Source organism: Homo sapiens, chromosome 1, assembly GCF_000001405.40.
Source record: "Homo sapiens chromosome 1, GRCh38.p14 Primary Assembly".
Taxonomy (NCBI): domain Eukaryota; kingdom Metazoa; phylum Chordata; class Mammalia; order Primates; family Hominidae; genus Homo; species Homo sapiens.
The window spans coordinates 91012101-91030268 of NC_000001.11; the positions used below are offsets into that span (position 1 = coordinate 91012101).

Below are 18168 nucleotides of genomic sequence, written 5' to 3' on the forward strand. Positions count from 1 at the left end.
GTCACTGGGGGGAAAAAAGGGCCATAGTACCAAATATCACCTGATTTACCTCCCAATTCATAACAATGCCAAACAAGGACAGAAGAAAAGAGAGATGGATTCAAGCATCAATTCTCACTACCCTTGGGAGGGAGGACAAATATGCCATAAGAAGTTTAGAAACAAAAACTCCAGCCCGGGCAACATGGTAAAACCCTATCTCTACTACCGAAAGAAAAAAAAAAAAAATCAGCCAGGCATGATGGCATGCACCTGTAGTTCCAGGTACTCAGGAAGCTGAAGGAGGAGGATCGCTTGAGCCTGGGAGGTGAAGGCTGCAGTGAGCTGAGATTGCGCCAATGCACTCCAGCTAGGGTGACAGACTGAGACCCTGTCTCAAAAGAAAAAAAAAGGAAGGAAAAGAAAAAGAAACAAGCAAAAACTAATTTATGGTGATAGAGGTTAGAGGTTAAAATAGTGGTTACTTCTGTAGGGAGAAATTAATAGGAGGGAGCACAAGGCACCTTTAATCAGTGAAGAAAAATATTCTACATCTCTATCTGGGTATTTCATTTAAAATAGGCTCTAATCACGGAAAATGCTTGCATTCCACAATTCTCATGTCTGTGCTTTTTTTACATCCTCTTCTCCCCAGGTGTAACCCAGTACCTCCCACTACCTGGGAGTTACCTAGGTATACTTATATGTATAAATTCACTGAGTTGTACTTAAGATTTGTGCACTTCACTGTATGTTATACCTAAAAAAAATACTTAAAAACAAGTAACCAATTAATAGCTAAATCTAAAAACCTTTTCTCAATTCTCATCCTTCTTTATCAATCTCCATCATATTGTTAATCACAGAACATCAATATTCCCTAAATGAAACACTTTCCCTTTTGAAGATCGACTAGGCTTTGTTAGGATGTTTTTTCCAGCATTTTCTGTAGTGTCATATTAATTCTCTCTAAATATTAATTCAATATTTATCTTTTTTCTTTTGTTTTTTGGAGACTGAGTCTCACTCTGTCGCCCAGGTGGGGATGCAGTGGCATGATCTTGGCTTACTGCAACCTCCGCCTCTCATGTTTAAGCAATTCTCCCGCCTCAGCCTCCCAAGTAGGTGGCATTATAGGTGCACACCACCATGCCCAGCTAATTTTTGTATTTTCAGTAGAGACGGGATATTTCATCATATTGGCCAAGCTGGTCTCAAACTCCTGACCTCAGGCGATCTGCCGACCTCAGCCTCCCATAGTGCTGGGACTACAGGCATGAGCCAATGCACCCAGTTAATTCAGTATTTATCAAGTGCTCATGTATGAGACACGAATTAGGCACCCTCCAATATATATTTCCAATCTCTCTCTCACACACACACACACACACACACACACACACATACACACACACACACACATATACACACCCAAACCAAATTCCCTAAACTGGATTCAAGCCACTCTATTACCTGGTATCAAACTGTATTTGCTGTTTTAATTCCTATCACTTCTTTATGGGAATATTCTTCTCAAGCATTTTCTGTTCTCAGCTATCCTTTACGGTTCAGTTCAATTTCTATGTTATTCTTTCCCTATACCCCATAGGACTTACTATCTGTAATTGCACTGTCCAATACAGTAACTTCATGTGGCTACTGAATACCTGAACTCTGGCTAGTCTGAATTGAGATGTGCTTTAAGTATGTAATACTAACAGATTTTGAAGACTTAACATGGTTAAAAAAAGAAAAAATGTAAAATAGTTCAATCATGTTTATATGATGAAATAATAGTATTTAGATACTGGGTTAAATAAAAATCCATTAATAAAATTTCACCTATTTATTTTATTTTTTGATGTGGCTATAGAAAATCTAAAATTGCATTTGTGGCTCAACTTATATTTCTATTGGGCAGTGCTGACCTATACAATCTATTTATAAATGCCCACAAATTACCTTTTTCTTCTTCTTCTTCTTAAACTGATAAATACAAATTGTATATATTTATGGTGTACAACACATTTTGAAATACATATAAATTATGCAATGGTTAAATCTAGCTAATTAACACATGCATTACCTCACATAGTTATATTTTGTGGTGTGAACACTTAAAATGTACTCTCCTAGCAACTTTCAAGTATGCAATATTAACTATAGTTACTATGCCCCACAAATTATCTCTTAACATATAATGTCATCTTCCCGATGAGTGCCAGAATTCAACATTAAGCTTTTTTCTTTTATGAATTAAATATTATATTAGGAATTACTAATAGTAATTAAGTGCCATTTAATTTTAATATCCCTTTAAGATTTTTAACAAGGAAGTGTAAGGCATTTCAAAGTGTTCAAATATTAAAAAAAAGTTGTTTTCAGATAGCTATAAATTATACAATTTTTCATCTATATTTTACTTATATACAATTCTAAGTCAAATGTCCCACCAGCAAGGATAGATAGCATGATTAAACCTGTAGCAATCCAAATCCCATAAAGTATTAGTTCTGATTAAGCCTGATTTTTTTCATCTTAGTCACTCAGTAAAGGGCAGCATCCATTTTGGTCAACATCATTGTACCAATGTCCAGCAGCCAAGACAAAGAGCCTTTATATGGTGGTATGAATAGACAATGAGAGCAATACGACACCACTTGAAATAAGGGGGGGGAGAAAAATGTTTTTATAATGCTAAGTTTTAAAACTAGGAGATGAAACTTACAAATTGTGTAACAACTAGGTAAAAGGATATATATGTAAGAAGAACAGGAAGGTAGAACAGAAAGGTCTCCTCTCTAGACCTTCTCAAGATATACCTAGGTTCAAACTTGGCTACTCCATTATTAAGTGGATGTGTTTCCTCACATGTAAAGTGGGAATATATACATCACAGGATTATTAAAAGAATATAGTAGATGCTTAATTAACGTCATCTGTCTTTAATACTAATAATTATATAATGGTAATAAGATTATGGGTGACTTCCCCTCCCTCACTTTCCAAATTGCTGTATTTTTCAAGCATAAATGAAAAACTTACAATTTCATACTAGTACCCCTCCTCAAATGAACCTAAAATTATTTTTACTAGCTGTCTTTGACAAATTTGCTTATAAGCTTAAAATCCGTGTTTGTGCTAGGAGGAGGTTGGTGGTAGAAAGAAAATTAAAGAGGGGGAACTGATAACTTTAACACCATACCAGCACAGACATATACAAAACAAAGTGTGGAGAGGAAAAGAGCAAAAGGAAATGCTGTTTGGGAAATTCCCAACTCAGACTATCCAATGAAAAGATTATATTCCACCCGCCTCAATCTAGCTACCTACCAGCCACTCCTCACTCTCATCTTGGGTTTATACGTACATTACAAATACGCATAGCCACTCACCTTCTTCTCTCTACTAATAGTCACCACATGGCCTCACAGTCAAAAATTGAAAGGAGAGTGAAGAAATTCAGCATGTTATAACAAAGACAAACCAATGCACTGGCTGGGAAATAACTTCATTAAAATGTACTCATTCCCAAGTGTATCTACTCATCTGCTGACAGTGCTGGGAATGCATTCCTGAAATATTTAACCTGGTTATAAGATTCTGCTGCTAGAATCAGAGAAGGCACACTTTGATGCCTACCTCTCACTTCCTCTATAACAACCTTGTCTTTATCGGCATGGCTTAAAATGGGACATTAGCAAAAGTATACAACTGCAAATCACTCACAGGTGAAAATCTCAAGTTAATGTAGAAAGAATAATTAAACAATGGTAATAATAACTATTATTACTCTAACAGGTAACACTTACTTTACTCAGCATTGTATGCCAGAAAGCTAAGGACTTTACATGAATTATGTAATATCAACCCTAAACCTCTTTGAAGATGGTAATTACTAATTCCACTTGCCTAGTGCTCACACAGCTAAATCTGAACCCTGTCAATTTTACTTCAAGGCTTACACTTTCAAACTTTATCATATCCTGCCTCTTTATATATGCATAATTACAATTGCAATTGTGATTCTATGTGTGTGTGTGTCTGTGTGTAAAGTATTTAGTGAGTCAGTAGCAAACAAAAGGCAATTAATTCCAACTCTGTGAAGCCTTTTACCCACCTTCACAAACCAACAATAAATTGGGAATTACCCCTCTCCTCCCCAATAAATGGTGCTCTGAAAGTACTAGTTTTACAGTCATACATCACTTAAGCATGGATGTACATTCTGAGAGATGCATTCTTAGGCAATTTGGTCACTGTGCAAACATCACAAAGTGTACTCAAACAAACCTAGATGGTAGAGCCTACTTACACACCTAGGCTACTTGGTATAGCCTATTGTTCCTAGGCTACAACATGCTCCTGTAAAGCATGTTATTGTACTGAATACCACACACAACTGTAACATAACTGTTTAGTATTTGTGTATCTAAACATAGAACATAAAATACAGTAAAAATACAGTATTACAATCTTATGGGACCACCATCGTAAATGCAGTCCACTATTGACCAAAGAACATCATTATGCTGCACATGACTGTATTTAATATCTTCCTCAAGAAACTAATGAAAGAGATACTTTTAAGTAAAATATTAATCTTTTCAAAAAATTAGATAAAATAATTGATAGACTACAGGTAAACATGCTTTGTAAAGTGTAAAGAATTTTAATCAACACTTTATTAGGTATTTTTAATTTTCAGTTGTCTATTTGGCTCAAAATATACTTACGTTTCTAGAGTTTGAACAAAGTCTTTTTTATTTGAGACAGGGTCTCACTCTGTCACCCAGGCTAGAGTGCAGTGGCACGGCATCTCTGCTCACTGAAGCCTCTGCCTCCTGGGTTCAAGTGATTCTCCTGCCTCGGCCTCCCAAGTAGCTGGGACTACAGGCACGTGCCACCATGCCCAGCTAATTTTTGTATTTTTGGTAGAGACAGGGTTTCATCATGTTGACCAGGCTGGTCTCAAACTCCTGACCTCAAGTGATCCACCCACCTTGGCCTCCCAAAGTGCTGGGATTACAGGTGTGAGCCTCCACACCCGGCCTATATAAAGTATTTTAAAAGCTGTATTTTCAACTTAAAAAAAAGATACACATACCAAAAGGCTTAACACATAAAATCTGCCTTCATCACTCTAACCCAGCTTCAATTCTACCAAAATCTAGGCTAACAGAATTAAGCTTCAAGGAACAAATCATTTATCTTTATTTTTACTTACAAAATCTCAGTTCAAAGGATTCCAAATGAAATGGGAAGACCACAGCTAGCAGACAGAAGAGGTAGGGCCAAGATTAGTAGGAGAGGGGAAAGAAAATCTCCCAGAAACGCTAATCTTAATCCAGTCTCACTTTCTCCCAACCAAGAGAAGTGTGCACTGCTGCTACTTCTGCCCTGGCAGGCTCCTCCTCCTCTTACTCTTGAAATCCTCTGCTTTTTTCCTCCTGGAAAGTTACTCTCACAGGGCTGTTTTTCTTCCTAACATCTCTCAATTGTCAAAGGATTTCTTATCTTGAAATTAAAAGAATAAAAATATACTAACTTTCCATAATCACATAAGAGTTCCCAGGAAGTTCAAAAAGGATAGTAACTACTGCCAGGTGCGGTGGCTCACGCCTGTAATCCCAGCACTTTGGGAGGCCAAGGCGGGTGAATCACCTGAGGTCAGGAGTTCGAGACCAGCCTGGCCAACATGATGAAACCCCATCTCTACTAAAAATACAAACATTAGCCAGGTGTGGTGGCCGGCGCCCGTAATCCCAGCTACTTGAGAGGCTGAGACAGGAGAATCACTTGAACCTGAGAGGCAGAGGTTGCAGTGAGCCAAGATTGCACCACTGCACCCGCGCCTGGGAAACAGACCGAGACTCCGTCCCCCAACCAAAAAGAAAGAAAAAGAAAGGATAGTAACTCCATGGTTCAACTTGGCAGATCTGCAAAAAAAATTATAATGCAGCAACTAAGGCCTTAGAGACAAGAAAACACCTTTTTCATGGGAACTTCCTCTCCCTGAAGAAAGACAGAATTTAATTTAGAGTCTTACTACCCTCTGGGTCTCCTGTGATCTTCATGTTTGTTTCTTAAGGGGAAGAGGAGAAATCTTTTAGCCAACCAGCAGGGTGAGCTAGTGCTAGCATCAGTTCCATGATTCTCAAATCTCCCAAAACTCAATGGTGTAAACGGCTTGCACTATTAACAGCAGCTATTTATTTCCCTCTAATAAACCTGAATCAAAAACACCACTTCTAGAACTGCTTCAGTCAATGCTATACCTGACAACTTTACTCAATATTTACAGATTCTCCATATACGAAATAGACATTCTCTCTACCAGAAAGATTAATAAGTGTAAATAAAAGCTCATTTGAATATGTATCCATAGTATTACAGTATCCACTCTTCATTCTCGTTTTATTTTACAAGGTTACTAATTTAAAACATTTAGAAAACAGTTTAAAAAATGGTTAAAACAAGTGCTCTATAAAATCAGGGTTAGATAACTCAACATGCCAATTTCTCCATTTGCTGCAAGCTACAATTGTCTTAAGACCTGACTGAAAAGCCTTCCCAAGAATAAGATTCACTTTTCCTTCCAGAATCACATCCTGAGAAAATGGTCTAAATAAGTAACACTAAAAAACAATATTTAGGATGACAGAAAAAAAATGGACCTGACCTTTCTCTAGATTGCAGATATCCCACCACTTCTATTCTCTTTGAAACTTTCTTTTCTCCTCCTGCTACCCATTAACAGTCTCAATTCAACCAAAACACTCTTATAACTTGAATGACAAACTAAAACTGGAAAATGTTTAAGGTTGGCAGGTGACAGACCACTTTATAACTACAAATAACCTGAAAGTGACTCTAATTTTCACAAAATGAAAGTGTAAGTAAATCCACTCACATAATGTTGAAAATTATAAAACAGCTTATCAACTAACAAAAATCAGTAATTTAAAAGCACCTTATATGACCCATAAAAACTTTTAAAACCTTAAAACAATTTAACTTTTTGCTAAATCTGACATTCAAAGAAGTTAAAAATCACTATAGGGTTCCACCATAAATGACTGTCACTACTTGTTCAATTTCCTAACAGACCTTAGAGGTACCACTCAGTAGAAGTAGTAGTCTTAAAAAGTTGTTTTAAAGAAAGGGAACATTCTGAGTGGCACATTCGTTTATCCAACCAAAACACTATTACAAAATGAAAGACACCATTATTTTCAGCATTGATCTCATTTCTTTTCCTACATAATAACTGGCAATAACAGCAGTTATTTCAAACTTTCAAAGAAATTTATCAAGTCCCTGGTTGTTGTTTTTTAATTTTTCAATTTCTGGGTCAAGACTGCATTTGGAAAACCTTAAAATTCAAAAGCAACATTGCTCTGAAACTATCTGATATTTCTGTATTTTGTACCTGATTTTGTTTCACTGAAAGTCACTTTAAAAACCAAGTTAACCACAGAATATGAAAGTTTTTTTGTTTTTTTGTTTTGAGATGTAGTCTTGCTGTGTCACCAGACTGGAGTGCAGTGCCACGATCTCAGCTCTCTGCAACCTCTGCCTTCCGGGTTCAAGTGATTCTCCTGCCTCAGCCTCCCGAGTAGGTGGGACTATAGGCACCACCACGCCCAGGAAATTTTTACATTTTTAGTAGAGACGGGGTTTCACCATGTTAGCCAGGATGGTCTCGATCTCTTGACCTCGTGATCTGCTCGCCTCAGCCTCCCAAAGTGCTGGGATTACAGGCGTGAGCCACCGTGCCAGGCCAATATGAAAGTTTTTAACTTATTGTCACAGAAGTTCTCATGAACCTAACAATATTTAATTAACAAGTATTCTCAATAACATTCCCTTGTTTTTTTAACCATTAGTTGTAGATATTCACCTTCTCATCCCAGCAATATGACAAATACAAACAGCAATGGGTAGAGGCTGAAAGGCAATTTTCCATTATGCCACTAACTTAATCATCTCTGGTCCTCAATATATTGTAAAAGAGGAGGGTAAGAGCAGTTGTTCTTTGATATTGCTTCCACTGTAAAACTTTATGATCCAGGAATACATTTGCTAATGTTAATGCATCTCCTATTCATTAATACAAGACTGTTCTGTATTAGAAGCTAAAAAAAGAGAAAATATATATCTGAAAAGAACAAGGAAATGAAAGTTAACTAATGTTGAAAAATTCAAATTTCAGTTTGAACACAGAGATCTACACAGTGATCTAATGTGTTTAAATATCCCTCCAACCAAGGAATTCTGTTAATTGCCAACACAAAACATTAGGTGTTTCAAAATTTTGTACTTCATGAGTTAATACCAACACAAAGTATGATATAATTGCAGTATAACTTTAATTTGTTAGAAATTGTAAGACTTTTAAAAGCAATACATACCACTGCATTAATACTAATCAAGCTTTATGCTTCACCAATTAAAATGTCTAAGCTAGATTATAGCCTTATTATAAAAACGAGGTTTTTCTTAGCAAGCCTACCAAAATGCAATATTACTGCCATCAAGTTCCCTAGATACTTACACATGCAACTGAAGGCAAACAGCCAGGTTTCCTTTCTTTGAGAAACTTTAGTTGTCTATTTTTTGAAATGTTTTCCTTCTCATGGGACCAAAAAATGTTTACAACTAAAGCAAACTACTGCAGGGAGGGAATACACAATTAAAACAAATCTACCATCCAGATGCAACAAGCGTGGAATTAGGACTGGACAGGATAGTCGGCGGTGTTGTGATACTTCTGTTGAAATTATTAACAAGACAAGACCATCATTCGCCCCCAATTATGTTTATCCCCTCGTTGAGTTTGATGATCACACAAAATCTGAAGTCTAAATATAAACGTTTTTATATTCAAAGTCAATATTCAAGAAAACTTTTCCACTAATGTTGCTAAACCATAGATGGATCCCAACAAGAGTTGTCTGTAGAAGTCTCGTAACAAGTAACCTTTAGCTCCACCACCTAAGTTTCCAATCACTGAGAAGAGTCTGGGACAACTCATCTTCAGGTTCACGGGAGAAGTGGAGCACACCTGCTTTCCTCTGGCAGAGTAACTTCCCAGGGACACAAAGGCCAGAGAATCAGACCTGGAGAGGCAAAAAGCTTTAGCTGGACACCCACCAAGCCCCTGGCAACCCAAACACTTCGAGCGATTTACCTCTTGCTGTTACTTCCCAGGCACCTAGCCGCATAAGATCTTGCAGGACGGGGGGAGGGGAGGGCTATGCGGTCCTGTCCCAAGTAAGGGGAGGGGTGTAGACAGTTAATGCCAGAGCCAGCGTTTCTGGCCACAACCGAGCAGCCTCAACGAGAGGGGTTGGTGACTGCTCTCGGCCCGCCCCGTTACTCAGTGCATTGCAATGGCGACCGCCAGGCTCCCCAAGCCGCCTGATCTCGGCCCCTTCCCCCTACTGCTCACTGGCTGCTCGGCTTCATGTGACTAAACAAAACCCCCAAGTCTAGTGCCCAGCTCAGCCCCTTTGTGTCCGCTACCGGATCCTCCGACGCCGCAGCGGAAAGCCCCCCCCCCATCCCCCCGCCGAGTCCCGCCCCGCGGCGGCGGCCGCCGCTCACCTCAGGCTCCGTGGCCCCCAGCGACCGCCGCGGCCGCCGCCTCCCCGAACCCGGGGCCCGGGCTCCTTGTGTAGCACCAACTCCGCCTCCTCGGCCGCCGCCGCCATCTTAGCCTGTGCGGCAAAATGCGTCCTTTTGGATGGCTGGGACCCAGCCTAGGGCGTAGCTCCCCGGGCCCGAGAGCCGGAGGCCGGGTCCCCCAAGTTCTTCCGCCACCCTCAGTCCCGCCGCTGCCACAGCCCAGAGGCCCGAAACCCACTCGGGTCCCAGCGAATCTGACCAAATAACCCCTGAAACTCACAGTTTGGTGCCGTGTGCGTCAAACCGGGGCGACGTTGGGAGCACGCGGCGTCCCCGCGTCACACGCCGCTCTGTACGCTACTCGGCTCCAGCGGCCCCCCTCCGCTCCCCGCTTTTCGCCTCCAGCCCCGGTTCCCACGGCGCAGGCGCGCTGCTTTCCCGCCTCTGCCGGGCTGCGGGCCGCGGGGGTGGCCAGCGAGGAGCTCCCGGGAAGCTTCGCGCTGGTGGAGCGTCTGGGCCAATTAGACAAACGAGGGCAGCGGAAACAGTGCACCACTGTTCTCGGGTGCCAGAAACCAAACAAGGTCACCTCCCCCAGCGCTGACCTAATCACTCCCAAGGAGGTTCCCGCCCCAAAGTAGGCACGCTCCAAATATGGTGGTGCCCAAACTCTGCAAGACCCAAGCACTAGGCATGCCTAGGCCCTTTAAGGTGGAACAGGCCCAGGTTTGAGTTCCACGATCACGAGCGTGCAAAAATCTCTGTTATTTTCCTCTTGTTGAGGAAAACAGCAATATTTGCCAATCACAACTGTGGAGTAATGGCAGAGGGAAGGTTTTAGGATCTTAAGGGGGCAGATTGTTGGGAGTTGCTTGATGGCCAGGCAAAGCATCAAGTGTGACATCTCAGTTACCCGGACAGCCTGCCCTGAAAGGTGGCCGAGGTTTGCTCCAGTTTGACTCTCTGAGGATACTCTCTCCCTGCATTACTGAAAGTGTCGTGGTTCTACGAATTAAAGTTATATAAGAAGCATGTGAGATGCTGGTTAACCCTTCAGAGAATCAGTCCCTAGAGGGTTCTGGAAATTTTCATTTTTAACAAGACTTCACCACAGGATCCTGGGGCAGAGAAACACTGAGTGGGCTATTCTTTTGTTTTTCGACTGAGCCAACGAGAAACTGCTAACATGTTTAAGATTAACCAAGAGTTCTTGAGAAATCTACTGGTCCCGCCTTAATTATTTGGCTTCTCTGAACCTCTGTTTACTCATTTAAAAATTTAAAAATAAAAAAGTTTTCCTTAGTTGTACAGCTGTCATTACTGTGGCCCTCCAAACCCTCAAGATGTTATTGACATTCGGAAGAATATACCATAACTGCATTTATTTGACAAGAATGAGAAACATTCTCTTTCCTATGGAATGATGCCTTCAGCAACAGCAAACGTAGATTCCAAACAACAAATATTTGACTAAACACATTAATTGCTTCATTACTTAATAGCTAACACTTTTGAGTGCTTACTGTGTACCAGGCATTGTTCTAACTTGCTCGATTTCATTGTAACCCAATGAGACAAAGAGGAGTAAGGTGATTTTCTCGAAGTCATACAGTTCTTTGGGCTCTTTAAAATGCAAATCTCCTGTCTTCATTTACACAAATGTGTAAACAATAAAATATAAATACGTATATATTTGCAGTCAATGGGGGAGGGGTGCTCTTTGGATCATTTCGTTTGCAGAATCCATTAAAATTGGACATTCTCAGTTTACTATTGGACTTACTACAAAATATTATGTACTATGGAAATTCTTACATTATATCACTGTAAAAGCAGTTACTAAGAAAATAACTGTCATTAATGTATACCACTGACTAATGTGCAGACAAATCACACAAGCAAATAGAATCATTCAGAACTCAGCCATGATCAGGAACTTGTCTCACTAATGAAGCTGTTTTTTACACTAGAACTCAGCAACTGAATTGTAATACTGTGGAAGTCATAATAGCAGTAAAAGTAATCATAGTAATTATAATAGTAGAAGTAGTAATAGTTGATGAAACGCTGTACAAAATGGATCTCAAAAGCTTCTATGAATGGCAGAAAATATAATGACAGAAAGCTTGAATAAGGTAATGCGAAAAGAAAAAAAAATACACGTGAGTTCTCTGTCTAGCCGCAGACGTGGGTCTCTGTTCTGCAGGATGGGGTTTGTAAAAGTTATTAAGAATAAGGCCTACTTTAAGAGATATCAAGTGAAATTTAGAAGACGACGAGAGGGTAAAACTGATTACTATGCTCAGAAACACTTGGTGATACAGGATAAAAATGAATACAACATACCCAAATACAGGATGATAGTTCGTGGAACAAACAGAGTATCATTTGTCAGATTGCTTATGCCCGTACAGAGGGGGATATGATAGTCTGCACAGCATATGTACACGAACTGCCAAAATATGGTGTGAAGGTTGACCTGACAAATTATGCTGCAGCGTATTGTACTGGCCTGCTGCTGGACCGCAGGCTTCTCAATAGGTTTGACATGGACAAGATCTATGAAGGCCAAGTGGAGGCAACTGGCGATGACTACAATGTGGTAAGCATTGATGGTCAGCCAGGTGCCTTTACCTGCAATTAGGATGCAGGCCTTGCCAGAACTACTACTGGCAGTAAAGTTTTTGGCACTCTGAAGGGAGCTGTGCATGGGGGCTTGTCTGTCCCTCACAGTACTAAATGATTCCCTGGTTATGATTCTGAAAGCAAGAAATTTAATGCAGAAGTACACAGGAAGCACATCATGGGCCACAATGTTGCAGATTACATGTGCTACTTAATGGAAGAAGATGAAGATGGTTACAAGAAACAGTTCTCTCAATACATGAAGAACAGTGTAACTCCAGACATGATGGAAGAGATGTGTAAGAAAGCTCATGCTGCTATACGAGAGAGTCCAGTCTGTGAAAAGAAGCCCAAGAAAGAAGTTAAAAAGAAGAAGTGGAACCGACCCAAAATGTCCCTTGCTCAGAAGAAAGATTGGGTAGCTCAAAAGAAGGCAAGCTTCCTCAGAGCTCAGGAGCGGGCTGCTGAGAGCTAAACCAAACAATTTTCTATGAGGATTTTTCAGATAAAGACAATAAACTTATGGACAGAAAAAAACATACAGGCAACTGAAAAAATCCAAAGACAAGTTATGTGGCTCAGTGCCAAAATATTTAAGGAAATCACAGTTGAGAATGAAAGTCAAGATGTGGAAAACAGTTTGGGAGAAAATTCATAACACATTGTGAATAAAATGATGCTCCAATGAATACACCTGGTAAATGTTTTAAAGAAATAAAAAGCAAGATGCTGGTTTTTGTTGCTGTTGTTGTTTTTAAACTTTTATTTTAGGTTCAGGAGTACATATGCAGGTTTGTTATATAGGTAAACTCATGTCACTGGGGTTTTGTACAGATTATCTCATGACTCAGGTACTTAGCCTAGTACCCAGTAGTTATTTTTTTCTGATCCTCTCCCTCCTCCCACCATCCACCCTCAGGTGGGCCCTAGTGTGTGTTGTTCCCTCCCTTGTGTCCCTGTGTTCTCATCATTTTGCTCCCACTTATAAGTGAGAACATGCAGCCTTTGGTTTTCTATTCCTGAATTAGTTTGCTAAGAATAATGGCCTCCAGCTCCATCCAAGTTCCTGCAAAGGACATGATCTCATTCTTTTTATGGCTGCATAGTATTCCAAGGTATATATATACCACATTTTCTTTATCCAGTCTACCACTAATGGGCATTTAGGTTAATTCCAAGTCTTGGCTATTGTGAGGGATACTTCAGTGAGCATACACATGCATGTGTCTTTATGGTAGAATGATTTATATTCCTTTGGGTATATACCTAGCAATAGGATTGCTGGGTTGAATGGTAGTTCTGTTTTCAACTCTTTGAGAAATTGCCACACTGCTTTTCACAACAGTTGAACCAATTTACACTCCCACCAACAGCATATTAGTGTTCTCTTTTCTCTGCAACCTCACCAGCATGTTATTTTTTGACTTTTTAATAATGTGGCTACTGTTAATATGTTAAAATCTGACCATATTAACACAGTGTATGAATCCATTAGTGATTACCAGATTATCAGTGAATGGAATTACCTGATAAAAAACATAAAGTGGCCAGGCACGGTGGCTCATGCCTGTAATCCCAGCACTTTGGGAGGCCAAGGCAGGCAGATCACGAGGTCAGGAGATCGAGACCACCCTGGCTAACACAGTGAAACCCTGTCTCTACTAAAAATACAAGAAATTAGCCGGGCGTGGTGGCGGACGCCTGTAGTCCCAGCTACTCAGGAGGCTGAGGCAGGAGAATGGCGTGAACCCGGGGGGCGGAGATTGCAGTGAGCCGAGATCCCGCCACTGTACTCCAGCCTGGGTGACAGAGCAAGACTGCGTCTCAAAAATAAATAAATAAATAAAGTAAGTTGTGGTCTCAAATGACTTGCTCAAAAAGAAAATGCAGTTCAGTGTTGGATAAAAACAAATAATTCTCCTCATTCCAATGCTTTATAATTCCAAGCAAAAAGAAAGAAATGAAACATTAATCTACTAGTAATAAAGTCAAATCAAGTTTGGATTTTGCTCAGTATCCCACTAGTTCTGGATCAACCTCTTAATACCAAAACTGTAAAGCAAGTCACTCTTGTGGAACTGCAAATAGTTCAGTATGTTTGTTCATTGGAGTGGGGGTAGGGAGGATGTGTGGAGTAGAAAGAGAGATGATGTAAACAGAAACCAAGTTTTGTATTTATTTTTGTTCCACGCTGACCTGAGCACAGAGCTTTACACATAGCAGGTATGCGATAAATAATTCCGTTCAGTTCAACCAACATTCGTGGATTGTTTACTCTATGCAAGGTACTGTACTAGGCACTGTCAGAAAAAAATGAATAAGACAGTTCCTTGAAGCTATTCAATAAATACTGTTGAATGAATGCAGTGCTTTTATACTTCAAAGAAAGAGCTAGACAAAAAGGTACAATCAACTCTCAATTTACCAGGGAATGGAGGACATAAGGAATAGATAATAAAGTTCTCCAAATCTCAGTTAAAAACAAAGGCTCATAAAACATAGTACAAAATAGATTTAGTATACACATATTTAATGAAAATTATATCTAATATTCAGAAACACATTTGCTATTCTACTCAGCATATCATTATGCATGCCCCCTGGAGGATGTGAAGGTAAATAGAACACACTCAGCTCTCAAATATTTTGTGGTGGAATGGATCAAAAGTTGCATGTTCATGTGCATGTGCAACTTGCGTGTTAAAGTTGACAAAGAAAGAGATCAGCTCATTGTTCAATTGGTGCTTCACCTAGTGATGATAATGCTGTGGTATCATTTTCCTCTGGAGTTTGGCTCTTAGCTTTGCAGGTTGAGAATCAGTTGAACCAGAGTTGATCAAGCGCAGATAGATGAAATGCGTAAGAGATTAATAAGTAAATCAAACGCTGATATATTAATTTACAGTAAAATTTTTGACTGCCAATCATAATGGAATACCTAAGCAGACTGGTCAGCACATTCCCTCTCTGTAGAGAAGGATGCTAGGAACACCAATTTACTTGCTTGATGAGCATAGAATTAGATGAATATGATCTCAGCAGATGGTATCATGAAACTTTGATAGCAAATTGCACTCTGCCATGATGATGTACCTGTCAAGGGAACTTGGACGGTTTAGTCTGCTTTCACCAGGACAATAACTCTTTTAAGAGTTAAAATCTTTCTTTTAAGATATATAACATACAAACCACAAGAAGATGAAGTATTTATAATCCGTATTTCATCAATTCTATTACTTTTTTTAAAAATGTTGTAACATTTCAAATTGTGTCTTACAATCATAATTTGTAATTACCAGTTTTTTCTTTCGTAGGGGTTCATAAAATAAGGGCACACCTTTCAGTGGTATCTTAGAATCTAGTGGAATGTGATAATTGCATGACTTTTTTTAAACTCCCTTACTTCTGTTTTGGTAAATTGACTTTCATCAACTTAGTAGTTGCCCCACTACATCATTACGTACACAGCCTAAGTTCAAAAACTATGTCAAGCTTTATTTTCCTCAATTCATATTCTGATCAGGCTGTCGTAATTGAGCTAAGTTCCCAAGGGATACAGGACACTGGAGGATAGTTCATCCACAGATGTATTCTTAGCTTCTAAAGTAACCCAGACTTGGCTGTGTGCAGTGGCTCACGCCTGTAATCCCAGCACTGTGGGAGGCCGAGGCGGGCAGAGCACCTGAGGTCAGGAGTTCGAGACCAGCCTGGACAACATGGTGAAACCCTTTCTCTACTAAAATACAAAAATTAGCCAGGTGTGGTAGCAGGCGCCTGTAATCCCAGCTACTCAGGAGGCTGAGGCAGGAGACTCACTTGAACCCGGAAGGTGGAGGTTGCAATGAGCTGAGATTGCACCACTGTACTCCAGCCTGGGCAACAGAGTGAGACTCCATCTCAAAAAATAAAAAATAAAGTAACCCAGATTTCACTGGGTTTTGTCATCCCTTTTTACTGCAGGACGCTTAAAATGCCTGCAAAGTCTCTTAAGGGGGCATTTGTACTTAGGAACAGGTCCTATTAGCTACCTCATTCCCTCTCTGATTTGGCAAGCCATCTGCTGTGGCTACTGATGAGCCTCCTGCTGGAAACAACTGCATTCCACATGGCAGCACCATTTTATTGCCAGGCACCAATATGGCCATAGCTAACAATCTAGAATACATATGGTACTAAGTAACCCATTATTGGAGTCTCTAGTCTAAGCTTTTACTTTTATGGACTGTTTTCTAAATATTTACTTAATATGTGTTGGGCTTTATAATAGTCACTGTAGATACTACAGAGAAAAATCTACAGGGTCACTATGTACAGTTGTGGAGTTTGTACACGGTACAAAGATGACAAGTAGGTGAATGGAGGCTGAAACTCAACCTGTTCCTTACTCACCAGCTCATGCCCCCTAGTGCAGGGCTGAATCCATCTGCAAGAAAGAGTGCCATTTTCTTCTGGCAAGGATACTTCTTATGAAGCAATCCTTGACCCCATGAGTCTGTAACAGCCTGTTTCTAATTCTTCTGCATAGAGAGTTACCTTCCCAATCCCTCTGCCCAGAGAGAATTCCTTCACACAGAGGGAATTGATATGCTACTGGGCCCTAATTACTCAGTCTCTATCTTCAAGGAGCTTACAGTCTAATGGGGGAAAATAAAGAAAAAAACCATTGTGACACATGTGATAAGGGTGGGCTAGAAATAGGCATCCAGTAGGACCTTGGGAACACCAAGAGGGAGTCCTAACCCAGTCTAGTGGACCAGGGAAGGCTTCTGGAGGATGCCTTCTCTGCCTAGAATCATCTTCCCACTCCTTCACCTGGGCTAATTCCTACTCATTCTTCAAGTTTCAGTTAAATATCCCTTTGATTAAGTTCCTTAGTTTTGGATAGCTAATATCAACAATCCTTTGACCAATTTTATAGGTTACCCAAATGTAGGCCAATTTGTGATTATCTATTTATATATACATATATGTAGATTATATATGTAAATATAATTTATATTTAAATGCATATATTTGTATATACATATATATAATCTACATGTATGCATATATAGATAATCACAATATATGCATATATAAATGCAAATATATATACATATAAGACCTGTGTGTATATAATATACATATAAATTATGTATATACAAATATTTATGTATGTATATTTATATATAAATATAATATACATAAGTATGTGTACATATATTTACATATATGCTTTCCTTCTTGGCATATGCCTGCCTATACATTCATTTTTTTATTTTTTATTTTTTTGAGAAGGAGTCTTACTCTGTAGCCCAGGCTGGAGTACAATGGTGCAATCTCACTGCAACCTCCACTTCTTGGGTTCAAGCAATTCTCCTGCCTCAGCCTCGCGAGTAGCTGGGATTACAGGTGAACACCACCATGCCTGGCTAATTTTTGTATTTTTGGTAGAGACGGGGTTTCACCATGTTGGCCAAGCTGGTCTCAAACTCCTGACCTCAAGTGATCCACCTGCCTCGGCCTCCCAAAGTGCTGGGATTACAGGCGTGAGCCACCACGCCCGGCCCCACCTGCATTTTAAGTTAACCATTGTGGGCCTGCCTTGATACTTCAGCAGTCCCAATTAATGTAATTGGCTGATTGGATTCACCTGGGCTTCTGTCAGAGCCACTTTCCGTCACCCTCTTACCTCATACTCAAAAACCACTCAGTGCTTCTTTTGTTATACTTATCTCATGTGTACATAAACCCCACTATAACTGAACAAATAGAATCTAAAAATTCAGTTTCACAAATTACAAGGTCATATTATTATGAGATTAATGAAATGATTGGAGTGATCCCACATAGTTTGCTGGAGAGCACCAAGTGTCTGGCTGTGTGACCAAAATCCATTCTGGTCTCAGCTAGAGTTCGGAGCCGTCTGCTGGTACTTGACTTCTCCAGCTTAAA

General features: G+C 39.9%; 1 protein-coding gene and 1 pseudogene across 21 annotated transcripts in view, besides 5 other annotated features; one reads left to right on the plus strand and one right to left on the minus strand.

The window, feature by feature from the left end:
• The window catches only part of ZNF644 (zinc finger protein 644), a 106732-nt gene extending 96797 nt beyond the window's left edge, over positions 1–9935 (minus strand). For 3 of the 21 annotated variants that reach the window (XM_017002493.3, XM_017002488.3, XM_005271257.6), the window contains exons 1-2: positions 9890–9935; positions 8537–9101 (exon numbers count right to left, since the gene is read on the minus strand). The gene's annotated coding sequence lies outside the window, so the exon portion shown is untranslated. Of the gene's footprint in view, positions 1–7882; positions 9384–9588 lie in introns of those variants that run through there. The other 18 variants (NM_032186.5, NM_201269.3, XM_011542258.4 and 15 more) reach the window with 8 other exon arrangements.
• Positions 9192–9741: an enhancer, noted in NCBI's record as "NANOG-H3K27ac-H3K4me1 hESC enhancer chr1:91486849-91487398 (GRCh37/hg19 assembly coordinates)". NCBI's record gives its function as "activates a minimal SCP1, AML or CMV promoter by ChIP-STARR-seq in primed H9 embryonic stem cells {active_cell/tissue: H9 hESC(primed)}" and the evidence as "EXISTENCE:reporter gene assay evidence [ECO:0000049][PMID:30033119]".
• Positions 9525–9594: a silencer, noted in NCBI's record as "silent region_1064". NCBI's record gives its function as "represses an Ori minimal core promoter by ATAC-STARR-seq in GM12878 lymphoblastoid cells {active_cell/tissue: GM12878}" and the evidence as "EXISTENCE:reporter gene assay evidence [ECO:0000049][PMID:35858748]".
• Positions 9742–10291: an enhancer, noted in NCBI's record as "NANOG-H3K27ac-H3K4me1 hESC enhancer chr1:91487399-91487948 (GRCh37/hg19 assembly coordinates)". NCBI's record gives its function as "activates a minimal SCP1, AML or CMV promoter by ChIP-STARR-seq in primed H9 embryonic stem cells {active_cell/tissue: H9 hESC(primed)}" and the evidence as "EXISTENCE:reporter gene assay evidence [ECO:0000049][PMID:30033119]".
• Positions 9925–10154: a silencer, noted in NCBI's record as "silent region_1065". NCBI's record gives its function as "represses an Ori minimal core promoter by ATAC-STARR-seq in GM12878 lymphoblastoid cells {active_cell/tissue: GM12878}" and the evidence as "EXISTENCE:reporter gene assay evidence [ECO:0000049][PMID:35858748]".
• Positions 10292–10841: an enhancer, noted in NCBI's record as "NANOG-H3K27ac-H3K4me1 hESC enhancer chr1:91487949-91488498 (GRCh37/hg19 assembly coordinates)". NCBI's record gives its function as "activates a minimal SCP1, AML or CMV promoter by ChIP-STARR-seq in naive H9 embryonic stem cells {active_cell/tissue: H9 hESC(naive)}" and the evidence as "EXISTENCE:reporter gene assay evidence [ECO:0000049][PMID:30033119]".
• Positions 11775–12767, plus strand: RPL5P6 (ribosomal protein L5 pseudogene 6; annotated as a pseudogene).